This window comes from Homo sapiens, chromosome 1 (genome assembly GCF_000001405.40).
Source record: "Homo sapiens chromosome 1, GRCh38.p14 Primary Assembly".
Classification (NCBI taxonomy): domain Eukaryota; kingdom Metazoa; phylum Chordata; class Mammalia; order Primates; family Hominidae; genus Homo; species Homo sapiens.
Window position 1 is genome coordinate 34180229 of NC_000001.11, and position 20081 is coordinate 34200309.

The 20081-nt window shown below is 48.0% G+C and overlaps 1 protein-coding gene across 2 annotated transcripts in view, besides 1 other annotated feature; it reads left to right on the forward strand.

Moving 5' to 3' along the window:
* The window catches only part of C1orf94 (chromosome 1 open reading frame 94), a 52139-nt gene that overhangs the window by 13236 nt on the left and 18822 nt on the right, over positions 1-20081 (forward strand). For both annotated transcript variants that reach the window (NM_032884.5, NM_001134734.2), the window contains exon 2: positions 16997-17685. In NM_032884.5, coding sequence (NP_116273.2) covers positions 17247-17685 — 439 coding nt within the window. In that variant the 5' untranslated portion in view covers positions 16997-17246. The remainder of the gene's footprint in view (positions 1-16996; positions 17686-20081) is intronic.
* Positions 8153-8706: an enhancer, noted in NCBI's record as "OCT4-NANOG hESC enhancer chr1:34653982-34654535 (GRCh37/hg19 assembly coordinates)". NCBI's record gives its function as "activates a minimal SCP1, AML or CMV promoter by ChIP-STARR-seq in naive H9 embryonic stem cells {active_cell/tissue: H9 hESC(naive)}" and the evidence as "EXISTENCE:reporter gene assay evidence [ECO:0000049][PMID:30033119]".

Sequence of the window (20081 nt, forward strand, 5' to 3'; positions counted from 1 at the left end):
AATTCAGATTTGTAAAAATTCCTTGCAATTCAGATGTGATCATTTCTTTAAGCTCTACAATTATTGCATGAGGTAGGTACTCTTTTAAACTTTCCATCTCTTTTTACTTTTTATTATGCAAATTTTCAAACACATAGAATAATAATATGGTGAATATCTATGTGTCTATCACTGAGTTTCAATAATTATCACATTGTGCCATTCTGGTTTCAATTGCTACCTCCACCCCTCCATTTATAAGTGAAATTACTTTTACAGATAACGTGGCTGAGGTTTGGAGGGGTTAATTTCTTTGCCCAAGCTCCTACAGTTAGGAAGTAGTAGAGTTTCAGAAATGAAACCCAAGACCGCCTTGGCCCTGAGGCAATAATGTCGGCTGTCCTGTCTTAGAATCTGGGGCATCTTTGAATAGTCAAAATAGTTGGGAGTCCCATATACTGAATGATCACACACAGAGTGAAAAGCCAGGGAGCTGTTCTTACTATTTCTAGAATGCCTTCAGGTGCACAAGATATCTCTCAGCTGGTCTTTCTGCTGCTTAATTTGTAGACCTGGTTTTGGTGGTGTTTTCTTGTATTGTGGTAGATAGGTAAGTGCATTCTACAATTCTTTTTGGCCAGAATTTGTTTTTCTTGACTCTGCACCTATTTATCATAGGAACCTAGACATTTCAAATTTGAAAGAGATTTTTGAAGCCATCTTCCGCTGCTCGAATCCCCTCCTTACTGTCCCTGCCAAGTGGTGCACTTGTACCACTTGGTACAGTTTATCAGATGGGGAGCTTACCACTTCCCTTTGCTGCCCCTTCCCTTGCTATGAACCCCCTCAAAATACCTTTTGCTTTCTATCACTGAAATATGTCTCTATCAAACTAATTCCCATTGATCTGGATTCTGCCCTTAGTACTCCAAGCCAAATCTATGTCTTTTTTCTTTCGATACCCCTTTGGATAGTGAAAGACAGCAAGACAGCAACAATATTCCTCCCAGAATGTTTTTGTCTCTATAAGCTAACCACCTCTGGTTTTCTAAGTTTCTCCCCATGTGCCAATTTGGTTAGTTTCCTGTCCACACTGTTGGTCCTTGTGGCAGTGTAACTTTGAAAGCCAAGTACAATAATCCAGGGGTGATCCAATCCATGCAGATTTGATCCTCCCTGTCTGCATTCTGTTTCCTGTTAATGACAACCAATACTACACTCACTTTTTTCCCCAAGTCGACTTTCACTCTGTGGACACATTTTCAATCTCTTAATTCATTCATTCAATTATTCATTCAACAGATATTTATTAAACATCTACTATATGCTAGAACTGTGTGAGAAACTAGGGGGATGGAGCTGTGAACTCCATTAATCCCTGCCTTCCTAGAGCTCACATTCTAGTATAGGAGAAAAAAGAAGCAAGTAAATACAAAAGCTATGATATCTTCAGAATGTGAAAAGAATGGTATTCCCAGTGGAGGAGACCCATAAGAAACACACAAAAATAAACAAGATAATTTCAGTGACAACTGTGATAATGGAAATAGAGCAGAGGGAAGTGATAGGAAGAGCTCCTTTAGTCTGGGTGTCAAGGAAGGCTTCTCTGAGGAGATGTGATTATCTGGGCTGAGACCTGGGTTCTAAGAAGGAGCCAGTCAAGGGAAGTTCTGGAAAGAACATTTGGGCAAAATGGAGAGCAAGGGCCAGGCATGGTGGCTAAAGCCTGCAATCCCAACACTTTGGGAGGCTGAGGTGGGCAGAACGCTTGAGCCCAGGAGTTCAAGACCAGCCTGGGCAACATGGCAAGACCTCATCTCTACAAAAAATACAAAAATTAGCTGGGCATGGTGGCACACACCTGTAGTTCTAGCTACTCGGGAGGGTGAAGCGAAAGGAACACTTGAGCTCAGGAAAGTCGAGGCTGCAATGAGCCAAGATTGCACTACTGCACTCCAGCCTGGGCGACAGAGTGAGACCCTGTCTCAAAACAAAACCAAAAGGAAAAGCAAATGCAAAGACTGTGAGGTGGGAGTGAGCTTTGAGAGGGACAGCGAGACGGGAGAGTCAGGAGGGATGGGGACATGGCCATGGTATAAGTATAACAGAGACAGGCAGGCAAGGCCTCAGGAGGCCTGGAGGATCACTGCGGGGAGTTCAGATTTTATTCCACATGTTATGGAACACTTTTGCAGGTTTTTAGGAAGGGGTGTGACATGAACAGATTCACTAATGTTTGAATCTCTGTCCAGCTTCTGTGTGGAGATGGTTTGTAAGTGTGTGGGAGAGGAAGTGGGAGGCCTCTGGGAAGATACTGTCAGAGTCCAGGGGAGGCCTAATGGTGGCAGTGGCTGGGTAGGAGTGACTGCAGTAGGGATGGAAAAAGTGGAGGATTCAACTGTGTGTTTTAAGATGAGCCAATGGACCTACTCATGATTTGGGTACACAAACAGACACATTGAGGCTCATGCTCTGCTTCACGCACGAGTTCACTTGACAAACAAGGATGGGGGCATGCATCACTATCAATGTGACTGGGGTGTTGAGACCGAACACTGGCAAACTCAAGGTGGGGAGTGTAGGGCCTCAGAGCAAAGGATTCCAACCTGTGGCCCATGGGGTCTCTGAAGTAATTCCCCAAATGCTGAGAGCTGGGAGGATGTCTTTCCGGCAAAAGGGTGTAGAGAAGCTTTCCTCAGATTTTCAAAGAGGTGTTGACCCCTCCAAGAGGAGAAAACACTAGCCAAGAGCATTAGACTCCAAAGATCTCCAGAGCTGGTTTCTAGTCTAAGACATCAGCCTGAGTTCCATGTCTGAGTCTTGTCTTTATCACTCCCATCACCAAGTTTCAAGCTTTCAAAATAATAATGATAATAAAAGAGGCTATGTATTCCAAGCTTGAGCCCCTGGTTGGACGGTGTGCCATTTACAAAGGTGGGGAAGAAATGGGGAGCAATGGGTTTTGGGGGAGAAATCAATAGTTCTGTCTAGTGCTGATTTAACTCCAAAATCTGGTTCAGTTATCTTTTAGTTAGTCTTAAGTTTGGGCTTAGAGAATTGTGGCAAGCCACTTATTCAAGGATTACTTATTCATTCATTCCCCTAATCTCTAAAACTTCAAAGCCTCAGAATGAGGTCTTTGGATTTGCTGTTGACTCCGTTGCCCTAACTACAGAATGACATTTGTTCATTTCTTCATTCATGAATTCATTCAACAAACACAATTGCCTTCGCAGTACCAGGCTGTATGATGGGTCCCAGGGACACAGAGATAAGCAGAACAGAAGCCTTTCCTCAAAGAGCTCCCAGTCTAGTGGGTGGCATGAACACAGATACATCTGACAACAATGACATTCAACAAATATTGCCAGGTGCGGTGGCTTATGCCTATAATCCCAGCACTTTGGGAGGCCGAGGTGGGTGGATCACTTGAGGTCAGGAGTTTTGAGATCAGCCTGGCTAACATGGTAAAACCCTGTCTCTACTAAAAATACAAAAATCAGCTGAGCGTGGTGGCAGGTGCCTATAATCCCAGCTACTCAGGAGGCTGAGGCAGAAGAATTGATTGAACCCAGGAGGCAGAGGTTGCAGTGAGCCGAGATTGTGCCATTGCACTCCAGTCTGGGTAACAAGAGCAAAACTCCGTCTCAAAAAAAAAAAAAAATTAGTATGCACCTATTACTGAAATGTCTGAAAAAAATACAATGGTGGAAAAGCTGGGGACAGTCTCTGACCTCCTTTATGAACTTTCAACATCTTGCAAAAGGCAGATCACAACACACTATAGTAAGTGTTCTGGTGATGAAGTGCCAGTGCCATGGAAGCGCACTGAGGGGACACATGACTGAACATTGTACTTGACTACTGGACTGGGCTTGGTACTTAGGGAAGTCTTCCTCTGAGGGAAGCAATCTGAAGCAGCAACAGATGAGACCCCTGCACTGTGTGATGAAAGATGCGGGTGTAGTCCGCAGGTAGCAGGGATGTCATGATTAATAACTGCAAAGGTTTCCATAGTTATGTCCCCCAGCTAGGTCTTGAGAAGAGAGAAAGAACAGCCTATGGAAAGAGCCCAGCAGCAGGCGCAGGGAAAGATGAGAAGTTACATGGGAGTGAAGTGTAGCATGTGTTAGTGACCGGGAGAAGGTGGCTCGAGCTTGCTGGGTGTGGTTGGCTTCCCTGGATGCTTCCAGGCCCTCTGTCAGCACCCAAGACTTTCCCATTTACCTGTCATAACAAACTTGGTCTGCAGAGTGGAAAGGCTTTGGTGAGCATTATTCCAAGCCAGACTCAGGTAGGGAGATAAATCTACTGAAATAAAAGAAATCTGTTTAAGCATTTTTTGAAAAACAGAAGTGGTTTATTGATTGGCAGCTTTCTGAGGCTATTTGTTGCAAGAAGGAAGAAGGCTTTTTTGCACTTATTTTGGTAAACTTTCACTGTTGGCTTCCATTGGCCAGTTCTCCACACTGGTGAGCAAGTGATATTTGGGAATCCACTCGGCTTCCTTGCTTGAATGGCTCTCCCAACAAACATCTCTTTGTGCTACTGTTATTTAAACAATTAGGTGAACCCGACTTCTCTGGAAAAGTTGCTTGGAATACATAGCCTCTTTTGTTTTTTTTGGTTTTTTTTTTAGCATTATTCTTTAAAAAGCTTGAAACCTGGTGATGGGAGTGATAAAGACAAGACTCAGATACGGAAACTCAGGCTGATGTCTCAGACTAGAAGCCAGCTCTGAAGATCTTTGGAGTCTAATCTCAACTAGTGTTTTCTCCTCTTGGAGGGGTCAATACCTCTTTGAAAATCTGAGAAAAAGCTTCTGTGCAGCTTTTGTCTGAAACACATCCTCACATCTCTCAGTATTTGGGAATGATTTCAGAGACCCCGTGGGCCACAAGTTGGAACCCTTTGCTCTGAGACCCAACCCTTAAGCAAGTGTCTCCCTCTCTCTTTATTTTACTTTATTTTTAAATTTATTTTTATTTTTTAGATGGAGTCTCGCTCTGTCACCCAGGCTGGAGTGCAGTGGCGCGATCTTGGCTCACTGCAACCTCCACCTCCCGGGTTCAAGCAATTCTCCTGCCTCAGCCTCCCAAGTAGCTGAGATTACAGGCATGCACCTCCATGCCTGGCTAATTTTTGTATTTTTAGTAGAGACAGGGTTTCACCATATTAGTCAGTCTGGTCTCGGACTCCTGATCTCAGGTGATCCACCTGGCTTGGCCTCTCAAAGTGCTGGGATTATAGGCGTGAGCCCTTGCACCCAGCCTTTCCCTCTCTTGAGCTTCCCAATGCTGGGTCTCAGCACCCCAGTCCCATTGACACTGATGCACCCCTGTTCTTGTTTGTCAAGTGAGCTAGTGCTGGCAGACACTGGCTCTTCCCTCCTCCAGCCTGCCACACGTCCTGGCAGTCCCCCTTCATGATGGCCTTTGGTGCCTTGCCTCCCTGCTCGTCTCTCCTCTGCCACCCTCACCACATCTCTTCTCACTGCATTGGGTGCCTTTCCCTCCAGGATGCCCTCCACCCTTCACCAATTTCATCTTCTGAAGCAGGTCAACAGCACTGCTCAGACATCTCTCATGGCTCGCCTTGTCCTCTGGCCCCTTGGGCCTGGTTTTCAGGGGTCTCTGTAGTGGCCCTGCCTCCATCTCTAGATGCACGTCTTGCTGGTCTCCTGCACATGCTCTATAAACCAACAAGAGCTACCAGCAGGTGCATGTCACCTTGCCTTTGCTCATGTTATTCCACTACCAGGAATGCCCTTCTCCCATATCTCTGTCTATCTAAATCTTATCCATCCTTAAGGACCTAGAATAAGTGTGTTGTCCTCTGAATTCTTTGTTGCTCACATCATTCAACATTTTTCTTTCTCTTTTTCCCACATTCCTCTTTTTAATTGAAATAAACAACTATGTCCCACCTCTTTCCTAAGTGTTTTAAGGTGGCCCAGATAACAAAAAATAAGGAGACAGGTGGATTAGAGTTCCAGCACACTTTCTAGCTGTAAGCAAGTTCCCCAAACTTTCTGTGCCCTATTTTCCTCATCTGAAAAAATGGGAAAAGTCACAGCGACTATTTCAAGGGATTACTATGGAAGCAAATGAAATGATATATGTAGAGCTCACACAGCACTGGGAATAAGAGAAGGACTCGATGTTCATCATCATCATCACCATTCCACCATCATCATTGTCATTATCATGGATAAAATAACAGGACATGATTGATATGGGACAAGGAGATATATATGCCAGGAAACTTAGGCTGAAGGGAAACTGCTCAACTGATAACAGCATCTGGTTTGAGATTCTTGGCAGCCAGGGCATAAAGGGAGATCATAGCATTCGGTTTTCATAACTCATATTGTCTTCTAAGAGAAAGCAGAAGGGGTCATCATAAGAGACAAATGCTTCCCCAGCTCTGAGAGCTACATGGGATAGATCTTTTGAGGACGATAGAATGGAAGAATCTGTTTAAAATCAGCTCTCTTCTTGACCATTGGCCAGAGGGAAGGACACAGCCCCTTAATCGGGGCTATCAGCCCAGTTCCAGTGTGGGATTCTGATGAGGTGGTGGGCACCTGGCACATATCGTGTGCTGCCTTGTGGCAACAATTCCTCTTCCGCTACTGCACTATGGGCTTCTTAAGGGCAAGGTCTGTGTCTTACTCATCTTTGTCTCCCCAGTGCCCAGCTGAGTTCCTGGCACTTGGTGGCTATGCAGTGGGTATGAATAAATAAGGAAGTGAATGGTGAATAAGCCATAAAACTGCCACCACCCAGAGGTAGCCAGGATCGAAGCAAGGGGTCACGGTCATCAGAGGAAGCACAGAATATCAATAGCTCAAGACATTGCAGGTTTTTTCCTCCTTCTGTCTTAGGCTGCAGAAAACAGAACTAACATTTTCTTGAGTACTTTATAGGTGCCAGGCTCTATATTTTCATTTTCTGCTTTATTTCACTATCTTAGCAACCCTTCCCAGTAAAAGGTCAATATTACTCCCATTTTATAGATGAGAAAGGTGAGGCTCAGAGAGGTTAAGCAAGTTGCCCAAGGTCATCCAGCTCAGAGGAAGCAGAGCACGGATAAGAGTTTGATGTGGCTTCAAGGCTTGAGTTCTACCCGGAACCATGGGCCCTTCCGAATAGCCCTTCCACGTCTGCTTAGTACCAGGAGCCATGAGTGGTGAAGAAAGATGAATCATGATTAACGTCCCACTTCCCATGTCCCCCTTTGTAATTTAATTTTATGGTTTCGGGAGCTGTGTCGCAGGTTGTGGGAGCCTGCAGAGATGGGCCACCAGTGGTTTGGTTTAATCCCCTTTTTAATATCTTTGTTGCAACGTTATTTCCAATTCAGCTCCCAAGTCACATTAAAAAAAAAAAACACCTCTTCCTTAGGGTAAGCCTTCCCTTATTAAACAGATTCAAATGAAAAGTTTTAAAGACAATTTGAACAATAAGCATCACTCTGTAGCTCCCAGCTGAAGACTCTTTATTGCTGTATTTATTCCCTGGTATTTCCTGTCTCATTCCCCAGCTCACTGAATCCACCCACCCCCCCCCCCCCGCCGCCCCCCACCACCCAACACTTCTAGTTCTTGCCCAACTCACCTGTTCCCTGGAGGGAGAATCAGGTGGAGGACATTGTGGGAAGCAGGGTATCTCACTTCCACCTGACAATATGCCATCTAAGGCTGTCTCACCTGCCCTAATGAGCAGGAAATTATTGCAAAGCATCTAGAGGGACATTCTCACCTGGCTGGGTGTCTGCAAGTGCACCATTGCATCAAAACCAGGGTGAAGAAATGGGATGCGAGATTCTGGGGAAAACGGGGATGCCACAAGTGGAGAAAGAATAGCTGCTGAAAATGCAGACACCTGGGCCCCATTCTAGATCAGCTGAATTGCTATTTCTCCAAGGGTGCTGAGGAATCTGTATTTGAAACCAGCACTACAGGTGACTCATGCATGTGTGTGAAAGGTTCTCTGATACTTTGGAAGGGGGTCAAAGATGACAAAACCTTAGGCTTAAAAGATAACTGTCTGGTACATCTTTGAGAAGGAGGTGTTTCAAAGAAAAGTGTGGAAGGAAGGAAGGAGATTGACCTTTATTGAGTTCTAAGTGTATGCCAGGGACAATTAAAAAAATTTGAATCTACTATGTGTGAAGACCTTTGGTAAGAAATTAGATGAACATAAAGTCCAGGCTTGGCATTCAGGGAGCTGAGAGATTTCACGGTGTTGCCTTCTTTAAGTCTGAGTATCACCATCCCCACTTTGCAGATGAAGAGACCGAGGTCTCCGTGATTCCCCTAATTGTATAGCTTTAGTAAACCAGGCTCATGGCTGTGAATCTGGGCCAGCAGGACTCCAAAGCCTGCAGCCAGGCTTGGCTCTCCCACACCAGGCTGTCTCAGTCAGAGCTGCTAACATTTGCATAGCGCTCGTTACAATTTACCGAGTGCTTTCACATTCATCATCTCACTTAATCCTCACTGCGGCCCGGAGGGTGGAGGAGGGCTGGGGGTGGGGAGGCCAAAGCTTTCTCCAGCCCTAAGCTTAGTCCCCTGACTCCTATCAGGAAAGTCCCAGGAGACAGAGCTTAAGGGTTTTCCAGGTACCTTTGGGACACGGGTTCACAAGCCCTGGTACCGCAACTGAATGAATCTGCAATTTCTCTCAATTGTCCCTTATCCCTAAGCTGAAGGAAGTCAGCCTAGGCCCCCCAGATAGTGAGAGAGGTAGAATCCACCTTCCTTCCCTGTTTTCTTTCCTTCCTGCTGGTTTTCCAAGCAGGAAGGCTACGGTGGTTTGTGTGTTTGTGTGTGTATGTGCATGGGTGTGGTGTGTATGTGTACATGGGTGTGTGCATAGGTGTGCATGTGTATGCATGGATGTGTGTTCATGTGTGCAGGATGTGTGTGTATGGATGTGTGTGCATGGCTGTGTGTACATGTGTATGTATGTGTGTGCACATGGGTGTTTGTACATGGCTGTGGTATATTTGTGTGCATGGCTGTGGTATGTGGGCATGGCTGTGGTACGTGTGTGCATGTGTGAATGTGTGTATGTGTGCATAGTGTGTGTGCATGACTGTGGTGTATGGTGCATGGGTGTATATGTGCCCGAGTGTGTGTGTGTGTGGCGGGGGGTGGCTATGGTGTGTATGTGGGGAGAAGGTACCTGGGCAATTCAGTGAATCTTGGATCTGGAGGAGAAGGAAGATGGAGGAAGACACAGGCAGCTTGGCAGAGGTGGCCACCTCCCTTGCTTCCACACTGGGCAGGGGCCACACTGGGTGCTGTGACATGCACCAGAGAAATAGGTATCTGTCAGAGAACATGGGTCTCTGATCCCTATGCAGACAGGTAGACTCAGAAGTGCCCACCGGCCTTGGCCTGAGCCAGGGTGGGCTCCACTGGGGAAGATGCTAGGTTGGACGCCAGAGCCACTGCTTACATGATAAGGGGCCTCTCCTAGCCTGGGGCCTTTGGTGACCTCCCTTTCCACTCACTGCCACAGCTCCTGCAAGTCCCCATGCTGGACAGCTGCCTGTCCACTGGGTTCTGTCTTCTGCTGCCTCATCCTCCTGGCTCTTGGCTGGCTCCTGGCCTCTGGCCCTGCCTGAAACTGAGGCTCAGAGAAGGGAAGCGAATTGTAGAAGGTCACCCGTCAGAAAGGACAGAGCTGGGTTTTGAATCCAGGTCTCCTGACTGCAAAGCCCTTGCTCTTTCTCCTTCTTCCACTCTTAGGGGAAGTGGAGGACAGGGAGGGGGTAAGAGGGGAGATTTGGAAGTCACATGGGCCTGGGGCCCAATTCCACCCCAACACTTATTCTCTAGGGTCAATTTGAGTACATCTTTTAACCTTCCTGAGCCTCAATTTCCTCTTTCTCAGTTGGAAAGGAAGATGCTCTGTATCCCTCATGGTTGTGGTGGGGACAAGTGCCACCTGTAAAACCCAGCACCTAGCAAACTCCTCAAAAATACTGGTTCAGGCCCCAGTCCCCTCCTGTCACTCCTCTAGATTATCCTGGGAGAAATAACCCTCACCCATGGAAACCAGAGCCTGATAGCTCCCTGCCTAAATCTCTCCAGTGGTTTCCCTGTGCCTTTAGAACAAAATGCCTTAGCATCACCTCCAAGGCCTGGCAGATTCTGACTCCTACTTTACCTCTAACTTCTCCCCTCCACCTCCATTCATGTGCCCCATCCACTTGAACATTATTCCCAATGATGCACCAAGCTCTTTCCCTCCTCATGGTCTTTGCACATGCTGTTCCCTGTGTCTGACAAGGTCTTCCTTGCATTCGTTACCTGGCTAAGTCCTTATTCTCCTTTAGGCCCCAGCTTAAAAGACAAAGGTGCAAAGAAGCCTCTTCTGCTCTCCTAACTTAGGTATCCATCACTAGTATTCTCACACACAGCATTTCACTGTTGGTTTTTTAGAGCAACATAGCTAGTGGTTAAGAGAGAGGCATTGGAACGAGATTGCCTCAGATCACTGGCTTTGTCCCTTAGTAAGTCTGTGACCACAGGAAAATTACTTAACTTCTCTGTCCCTTGGCTTCTTCATTTTGAAAATTGGGGTGACTGTACCTATCTGTGACAGGAAGCTTTTGATATATAACAAACCACCCCAAAGCTTAGTGGCTGAAAACTGTGACTCATTTAGCTCTCATTTCTACAGTTTGGCAATTTGGGTTGGGTTCAGCTGGGAGGTTCTTCCGCTGTGGGCTGGGCTTGGCTGAACTTGGCTCATGCTCACCCAAGCATCTGCACTTAGCTAGGTCTGGATTGGCTGACACAACTTGGAGTTTTCCTCTGTGTGACATGTTACCCTGGGCTTGTTCACATGGAGGTTGCAAGTCCCAAGAGAAATAGGAAACTAAGCCCTAATTCCCAAACACTTTTCAAGTCTCCACGTCTTACAAATTAGGATGAGAGGGAACTACCAAAGAGTATGGATACAGGAGGTTGTGATAAAATGGGGGCCATTACTATAATTAGTCTAACACACTACCCCACTGGGGCTGTTGGGGGGATTAAAATGAGAGTTTTGCTTGTAAAGTGCTTAGCACAGTGCCTGGCTTGTTAATTAGCACTAAATAAATAATGAGCCCTTCTTATTATTTTGTGAAAAGGACCTAAGGCTTTGACATATTAGGTAGCTTCCTTTAGGACAGCCCTCTCCCTGACCTCCCCCACCCCCATTAAACGGTGGGGATTTGAATCTAGTTTCCACCTCCCTCCAGGGACTGACCTCTTAACTAATATGCTGTGCTGCTCTACCCACATAGACACATAATGGCAGAAACTCACCCAAAGCCATGAGGTCAGTCTGCAGATGGACCACAATTCAAGCCCAGGTCTGTGCCTGACCCCAGAGCCCTCCACTTCACTCTAATCCGCCAGGTTGCCTTGGGTACTGTGTTTGTCATTGGTCTAAAATTTCATAGCTGGAAGAAAATATTTGTTTTGGTATCCTCCTCCAGCACTAACAATTTTCTGCTTGCATTTTTCTGTTGTTTGGCTCAGATGAATAGCAGTTTTCATCTTTGCTCTGTGTTATCATGTACACAGAACTGCTGTTGGGGAGCTAACAGCATGCTTGCTTAGTCATTATTCTGAGAAGGGGTGCCAACCAGTCAATAGCCTTTATTTTTGTATGACTCTGTATACCACAAATGCAGAAATAATGCACAGCATCCGAGTATGGCGCTACTATTGGACAACTATCATTTCTGGAGATGGGCAAAGCAGAGGTGGCACCGCGTGGAGCTGGAGCCGCAGAACTGATTCTGACTTGCTTCTTTTGTCAGGAGCCCAGGAGCTGGGTTAACCTCCCTGAATGATTCGCTGTGATAGAGTCTGTGATAGATTAGGTGGTTTTTCCCAACCCCAAAGAGAAAGCGAATAGCACAGGAGAGATGCCAGGACTGGCAAAACTTGGGGGAAAAAGGTAGATTACAGGAAATGGGGGTGAGCAGGCCTAACCGTGAACCCAGCAAAGTGGTCGGGTGCCCACAAAATCTTTCTGTGAGCCCCAAGGTGATTACTCAAGGTCAATGCGGGTTCTGTGTGGGGTCTGCCATGGGACCGCCTTGCAGAATTTGGGAGGTCTTAGGACTGGGTCAAGCAGGATGGTTAGTGCCATCTGATCGGCTCACAGGGATGCCAGGCCAGAGATGGGATGTGAGATGAAAGGCCAGAAAATGGAACCAAAGCCAGACAGGTTGCAACCAGCTCTTAGAGGTCTTGGCATGGGTAAAGGCAAGTGAACTTGTTCAGTCCTTTATTCAACACATCCCGACTGAGCTGGAGTTATGTGCCAAACACTGTTCTAGGTTTGGAGGCCTCTGTGGTGAACAAGATAAAGTCCCTGCCCTTGTGGAGTAAGGACACAAAAAGGATATTATTAAATTAGGTGATGGTACAAACGCTGTGAAGAAAATAAACAGATTGACAGAGGAAGGTGGGGGAGGGACACTTTTAAAAATAGGCAGGAAAGGCTACTTTGAGACTGTGACACTGGAACCGAGGCCTGAGTGATGAGGAGGAGCCAGTCAAGGGACACTGGGGGGTTGCAGGGAGAAGCATTCCATAGGAAGTGCAAAGGCCCTCGGGCTGGAATGAACTTAGCATTTCAAGGGGTAGATAAAAGCCCAACATGACTGGAAGAGGGAGGAGATGGGGCCAATTTGTGTAGGGCATCATAAAGGAGTTTGGATTTTATCCTGTGTGTAGTGAGAATCCACAGGAGGATTTTCAGCAGGGGAATGGTTTGATCTGAGTTCTGAGAATGTCCTAGCTCTGCAGGCACGTAGTTTTCTAGAATAAATAAGAACAAGCAGATCTTGTTTTCTTGAAGTGGAGGGGCGTGGTGGAAGGAGACCCTGAATCAGGGACTTTTAACTATATGGCGAATCTCGATGGCAGCGAAGTGTTTGATAAAGGCTCTTGGGAGGGAATGGAGATGTGATGACAGTGATGGGGATGATTTATTCCCCCAAAATGTTGATCCAGGATTACTGTCAGGCTGGGAGGAGAGTCTCCGGTAGTGTCCCTGAGGCTCTGCCCCAGACTCTCTCCTGTTCAACATTTCTATTTGTAAATTGGCGGAAGACTCAGAAGATGTGCTCATCAGACATGCAGCTGACATGGAGCTGTCAGGGACAGCTAATGCCACGGATGACAGGCTCAAGATTCACTGTGATGATCCTCCACAGGCTGGAGTGATGGGACGAAACCAGCAATATTCCTGAGTGCATTCAGATTGGGGAACAACGCCTGGCCAGGGATCAGGGAGACCTTGCTGGATAACAATCTCCTGAAAGGAAGCCCAGGCTGGGGGTGGGGAGGAATTAGTGGAGGCAGCTGGACCCAGCCAAGTCCCTACATCAGCTTCTTCCCTCTGTGGCAAGGCCCTTAGCCTTTCAGGGTCATTCTTCCCATATGTAAAGTGGGGATGATCCAGGCTACTGCCCAGGCATATGGGTAGGATTAAATATGAACACATATATGGATGACTGGCTTCCTGTGTGGCCCATAGTAGGCTCACGGCAAATGCAAGGGAAATATTAATTGTAGAGGCTGGCAAGAGAAGAATGGATATCCTGCGGCAACCTTTCAAGGGCACGTAGCAGGGCTCACAGCTGGGGCGGGCCCATATGTTCTTGACACACCAATGCCAGCTTTCTAAGAGCCTCATTGATTCCTGTGGTATGTAGAGGAGAATGGCCTGGAGGGGTTGGTTCTGGAGGCCATATCCCCTGAAACCCACCGTGAGTTCAGAATGGAGACAAGGAGGTGGTTGCAGCTGGGGGGGACATGAGTGTTTCCTTAAACACCACAAAGGCTGCAGTGTGGGAATGAATGGGGAAGATGCTTTCTTCATTGTTCTGGATGCCTGTGAGGAAAAGTTGTGCAGAGGCACATATGGGTGCATCGTAACTAAGATCTAAACATTGATAATTACATTATAATAATTATGCTGTGAGCATTTCTCGAGGGCCCACTATGCACCCAGCTTGTGCTAAGTGTTTTGTACAACTTATAGAATGCTCACAGTCTGACCTTGACAGATGAGGAATACAAGGTGTAGAAGGCAGCTCTTGAGAGGCAGAGCAGGGATTCACACTCAGCCCCTGGTAGTTCCTGTCTGCTAGCCTGGCTTCAGGTTGGGGAGGGCAGGAGTGACCTCCCAGGTGCTGAGAAGGGACCATCATGGGGTGATTTTTGGTACAGGGATCTCAGGGCCCTGTGGGGCTTCTAGAAGCTACTTTGAGTATGTGCGTGTAATATTTGTATAAAATAAAGCAGAAAGCAAATACAGACAAATAGAATGACTAGTGTGTGATGACCCTATGTAACCATTACCTGGCTTTAGCAATGATTAACATATGGCCAATCTTGTTTCATCTATTACTCCCTCTCTCTTCTTTTCCCTCCTCCTGCTGGATTAATTTTAAAGGCATTCCCCGGCATAATTTTCTCTGTAAATAGTATGTATCGCTAAGAGATAAGGACTCTTTGTTGTTGTTAGGCATAACCACAATACCATTATCACAATTTTTAAAAATTGACCTAATTGTACTGTGTCTTTCTAATTCAGTGAAGCTATTGGTGTATGGCTTGCTTTGCAAAGTATTTGGGGAGGGGAGGCAAAAACTAGTCTGACTCCTGTGACTTGAGACTCACCTGTTCCTTTTGAGGTGGATGAAGAGGAAGAAGAGGAGGGGGATCTAAAACTTGAGACCGCAGATTGGCAGCCCCTTTATTCTGATTGTTCTCAGGGGACTCAGCCGGGAAAGTGAGGCCTATTTATAGGCCTAAGTCTAGACATGGGAAGGAGGCAAAGGAAGGGAATAGGTGACAAGTCAGGGAAAGGGGACAGAAGAGAGAGTGGAGGGAAAGAGAAAATAACAGCAAGTGATCTTGCTGCACACATAGCTCCAGTGGCCCTTCAGGAGCTGGCCGGGACCAGCCCACACTAGCTAATGCTCACAGCTGACACTGACTGAATGTTTCCTGTGCACAGGGCACTGTGCTGAGCTCACGTACCAGTGACCTCGCCCAATGCTCCCAACCATCCCATGAGGCAGGTGATGTTAGGTGTCACACCCATTTTACAGGGGAGGACACTGAGGTTCCAGGGTCCGACATGAAAAGAGCAGTGGTGCCTGGATTCAAACCCAGGTCTGTTTGTCTGGAGTCTGCTTTTTGCAGGCTTTACTCTCTGCCTCCAAGCCTGGTGATGTTCCATGTGGGGGTAGAGAGGCTCATGTTCAAGAAGTACGGCTGTCTTGGCTGCTGGACTATTGGTACATTCCCATGTCTTTAGTACATAGCTCTTCCCCAGGGTCCCCAAGCACCCTGGGCTACCAAGTCTTTGCCTCAGGACTCATCAGGACCCAGCAACTAAAGGTTTCCTGTCTGGCACAATAGGAAGCCTCTAAGACTGTAGACTGTGTCCATTCTGATTGACTGTTAAATGCAGTGACTACTCCCCTGGGTCTGTGTATGGTGACATGTGAATTGTGTGCCTGCCTGTTTCTGTTCGTGGGTGTGTGTGTGTGTGTGTGTGTGTGTGTGTGCGTTTGTACACAATAAGCATTACCAGGAAGGCATGGACCCTGCTGGAAGCATTCCATGGTCACCGTTTTGGAGACTCATCATGCCCTCTGAGAGGCTGGCCAGAGCTGGAACCTGTGCTGGACCTCCAGACTGCAAAGCCTAAGCCACAGCAGCTGAGCTCCCCTATGGGACTCCTTGATTTTTTCCCTTGGGTCTTCATCATCTTCTCCTTCAGCGCTCCCATGATAGAAGGCTGAGTAGTTTCCAGAATGCTTGGTGTGGGCCACCTCATCCACTTCTCATAGGAGCCCCTTGAGTAGGCACAGCAGATGGTTCTAGGCTGGTGGCTCTTGTCCTCCTGGGTGCCTGCTTGCCAAGAGTGCTGGTGAGGTGGGCGGGGCCACCAGCCAGGCCAGTAGGATTGCAATCCTCTCTACACCTGGAGAGAAGTGGCAACGAGGAGCCTAAAAGCCAGGAGACCATCAGGTGCTATCAGACAGGTGCAGACCAGCAAGTGTGCAGCGGAGGACCCAGGGTCCAAGGGGCAGGTTGAGGCCATTATTTAGGTTCAGGAAGATCCTGGTGAATCAGTGCAGGGATCAGTGCAGGGATCTCCCCACTGCTGGTGCTGTACATGAAGGGAGGCCCAGTCCAGAGGCTGTGATCGGGTCAGAGGCCATGCCAGAGTGAACATGAGTATCCAAGAGGCTACCGTATGAGATCCAGGGGCGGGGACCAACTAAGGCTGACAGTGGTGTAAACATGAGAGCTGACCTTTGAATCGCCCTTACTCTATGCCAGACACCATTCAAAGTGCTTTGCACCTCTATGATACTCCTAGTAATGAGAGGAGGAGACAGAATACCAAGATGCTGAACAACCTGCCCAGGGTCACACCGATGGGAGTTGACTGGATCAGGGTGTAAGCTTAGGCTGTCCACTCCACCATTCTGCAGTGAGGTGATGGGGGCTGCGCTACTCTCCTGGGGGCTTCCCAGGGCTCAGCCCCAGCACCCTAGACTCTGCACTTAGAGCTGTTGGCTTGCTCCTGACCCCTTTGCTGCTGGGCAAAATTCCCCAGTGAACCCCTTCTCTGGTCTTTCATTGCTTCAGGTTCTGAGCATGAAGAACAAGGAGGAATGGACTAGAATTAAGGCTCAGTGAGGCTGTGACTTGCCCCAGCTCACTCAGCAAGGTTGTTGGGAGAGGATCCAGGTTTCCCCATTTTTCAAAACCATGCTCTCAGTGCTGCATCCTACCGCTGTGGTATAGGACCCTCTGGGGGTCCAGTGTGTCTGCTGGGTTATCTTGCCTGGAAGTGTGTTTTTGTCATGTTATGCATCCATCTCCCTTTTCTGGGGCCTATGTCCTTCTGCAAAGCCACGCCTTGGTGAGCTGGCACTAACACCGTCTGTCTCTCTGACCCATTTCCAGAGCTCTGGAGCTCAGCAGTGGCAAAGATGAGATCTCCTTGTTGGTGGAACAGGAGTTCCTAAGCCTCACCAAAGAGCACTCGATCCTGGTCGAAGAGAGTTCTGGGGAGCTGGAGGTACCCGGCAGCTCTCCCGAGGGGACCAGAGAGCTGGCTCCCTGCATTCTTGCCCCTCCTCTAGTGGCAGGCAGTAATGAGCGCCCCAGAGCCTCCATCATTGTCGGAGACAAGCTTCTGAAGCAGAAGGTGGCCATGCCCGTTATCAGCAGCAGGCAGGACTGTGATTCTGCCACTTCTACTGTCACAGACATTCTGTGTGCCGCCGAGGTCAAGAGCAGCAAGGGGACAGAGGACAGGGGCCGCATCCTAGGTGACTCCAACTTGCAAGTCAGCAAGCTTCTGTCCCAGTTCCCACTGAAGTCCACTGAGACATCCAAGGTCCCTGACAACAAGAATGTGCTGGACAAGACAAGGGTCACCAAGGACTTCCTACAGGACAACCTGTTCAGTGGCCCTGGACCCAAGGAGCCCACAGGGCTGAGCCCATTTCTGCTGCTGCCTCCCCGACCTCCTCCTGCACGTCCTGACAAGCTCCCTGAGCTCCCTGCTCAGAAGAGGCAGCTCCCAGTGTTTGCCAAGATCTGTTCCAAGCCCAAGGCTGACCCTGCTGTGGAGAGGCACCACTTGATGGGTGAGTGGGGTTGGAACTGGGGTAGAGTGGGCCTGCAAGGAGGAGGTCCTTCCCAGGAAGCCAATCAGGGCTGCAGCATGTACATAAAGCATCTTCATGCAAAGCAAGACAAAGCAGCCTCTCTGGTGGGCACAGCCCCGAGGGACGGGCTGTTTCCAGCCCCCACAGGCTTATTTTGCTGGGTTCCCCTGTGCAGGGCACAGCTTTTGTAAGCAAACCCAGAGGCCCTGATCTCAACATACTTTGAGAAGAGAAATAGGCGCCATGTAGTAATTGGCTTAACTTTGGAATCAAACGGGTGTCCAGAGTACATTGAAGGAAGTGTTTACCCTAGCTGGGTTCAGGGTGAAACTACAGCATGGAGATGCCAAGATGTATAGAAGAGAAATTTGATTGGTAGCTGGGGTCATTTGGCATCTATCTCATGGAGGTACCTTGAGGACATGAGGCCTGGTCCTCCCTCTCTGGGGTATTGGGTAGATGCGTAAATTATCCAGGCATAGTGCAGACTGTTGACTCTGGGATCTGTTTCCTGGGACTTACTTTATTGAGGAGCTCACATTCTTCCCAGGAAAGCCAGCCACCTCCCAAGCTTCTCCTACTTTATGCCCAGGATTCTGTGTGTTGTTCTGATCTAACCAGTCAGACTATATGGTTCCAAGAAGGTAGGCTGATGGCCATGGCCATTGCCTAGAGTCAGCAGTCACTAAGAGAGTGATCATACTCATGTTAGCCAAAAGAACAATTTCCTCTGGGCTATGAGCATGGATGGATAACTGAGAGACACCCGTATTGGGAGGGTCCAAATTAATCTACCTGAGAAAATAAGAGCAAAGTCATCCTGAACATTCTGTGTCCTGGAGCATTGCAGGAAGGCCAAGGAATCAGAGCTGTGGATAGCAAGCTGAACTCTGGGTCCTGGACAGGCTTCTAGGAGCCAGAGGGCTTTAGGATGGGGAGCTGTAGGAGAGAGACGGTTGAGCTCTTCCCAGAGAGGAGACCTTCCTCCTACCTCTTCTCCAGAAGGGACCCATAGATATTTCCCTGTTGGATGGGGCTGCTGGACTGGAGGCAGTTCTGGTCCCACCCACCCCACCCACCATTGGTGCATGTCTGTGTGTACGAATGTGTGAGCAAAAGTGTGCCAAAAGGAGTTTTGAAGGTTTTAGTGTATTTGTTAGAGAAAATGCAAGAGTGGTGTGTCTAAGCATGTCTGTGTACACATTTGTGCATATGTCTGTCATGTATGTACTTGTGTATGTGTAACTAAGTCAAAGGAACAACAGATAGGAGTGTGTCTATGTCTGTGTGCCCAGACCTGGGACGAGGGAGCTTCGTAGATGTTTAAGGCATCTGTAAATATGAGTGGGAAGCTGCAGGTGTGTGTGTCTCTGGGGAAAGGGCTATTATCAGTGGGTACTGTTATTTCAGCTCACAGGCTAGGGGCTGAATTCGGCAACCGGAGGAACTCCTGGAAAAGACTCTAGGGATGTTTTGCTAAAAATGTTGTTTCCTTCTAAATTGGCTCAGGCTAGAGCAGCTCTTTCCTTTGCTGGAATAGTGCTAGGAAGACAGCCTTAGCCCCGAAGCTCAGCCCCCAAGCCGCTGGGCTAGGGGGCCAAAAGCTGGTGGGATCTGGTCTATTATTATCAACAGGTAACACTGAGGCACAGGTCCTTTCTGGCTGCATCCAGACAGATCCCGGTGCCTGCTATTGGGCAGCACAGTGCACAGCCATCTGGTGGGTGGCCAGGTTTCCCACCACTGCTGTGGAGGATCCTGTGATGGTCCCCAAAGTATGTCTGCATTGGGAGAATAAATGCTCAGTCTCTTTAGTGAGAAACCTGTGTCTGCCACCAATCTTGTCCCTGCTCCACACTCTAGCCATATCCAGTGACTCACAATGTCTCCTTGATGCTTCCAGGCCTTTGCCCACAGTTATCCCTGCCTGCCATGCCTTCCTCCCCAATACCCCTGGATGTAAGGCCTCGCTGCAACCCTACTTCCTTCTGGAAGGAACCTTCTCAGACAGAAGCAGCCTCAGCCACCCTGTTCTCCATTTCTTCCCTCTGCCACCTCATGGTGTTCATCTACCTTATCCTGGGGCTATTTCTGGGCATGTCTCTCTTTTTTTCTTGTTATGAGCTCCTGCAGGGCACAGTCTAGCTCTGACTCACAACTGTGTCCCCAGCACTCAGGTCAAGGCCTGGCACTGACAAGTGAGCTGAATCACCTGTGAGTAATAAAACAAAAGTAGAATCCAGAATGAGAGACCAAAGTGTGTGGCTCAGACCACATGTTCTGTAAGAATGTGTGACTCCTTCACTAAGCCATGTGCTCACTGAAGGCAGGAACTGTGTCCACAACATCCTTGTTTTCGCAGCCTGGCACTATGG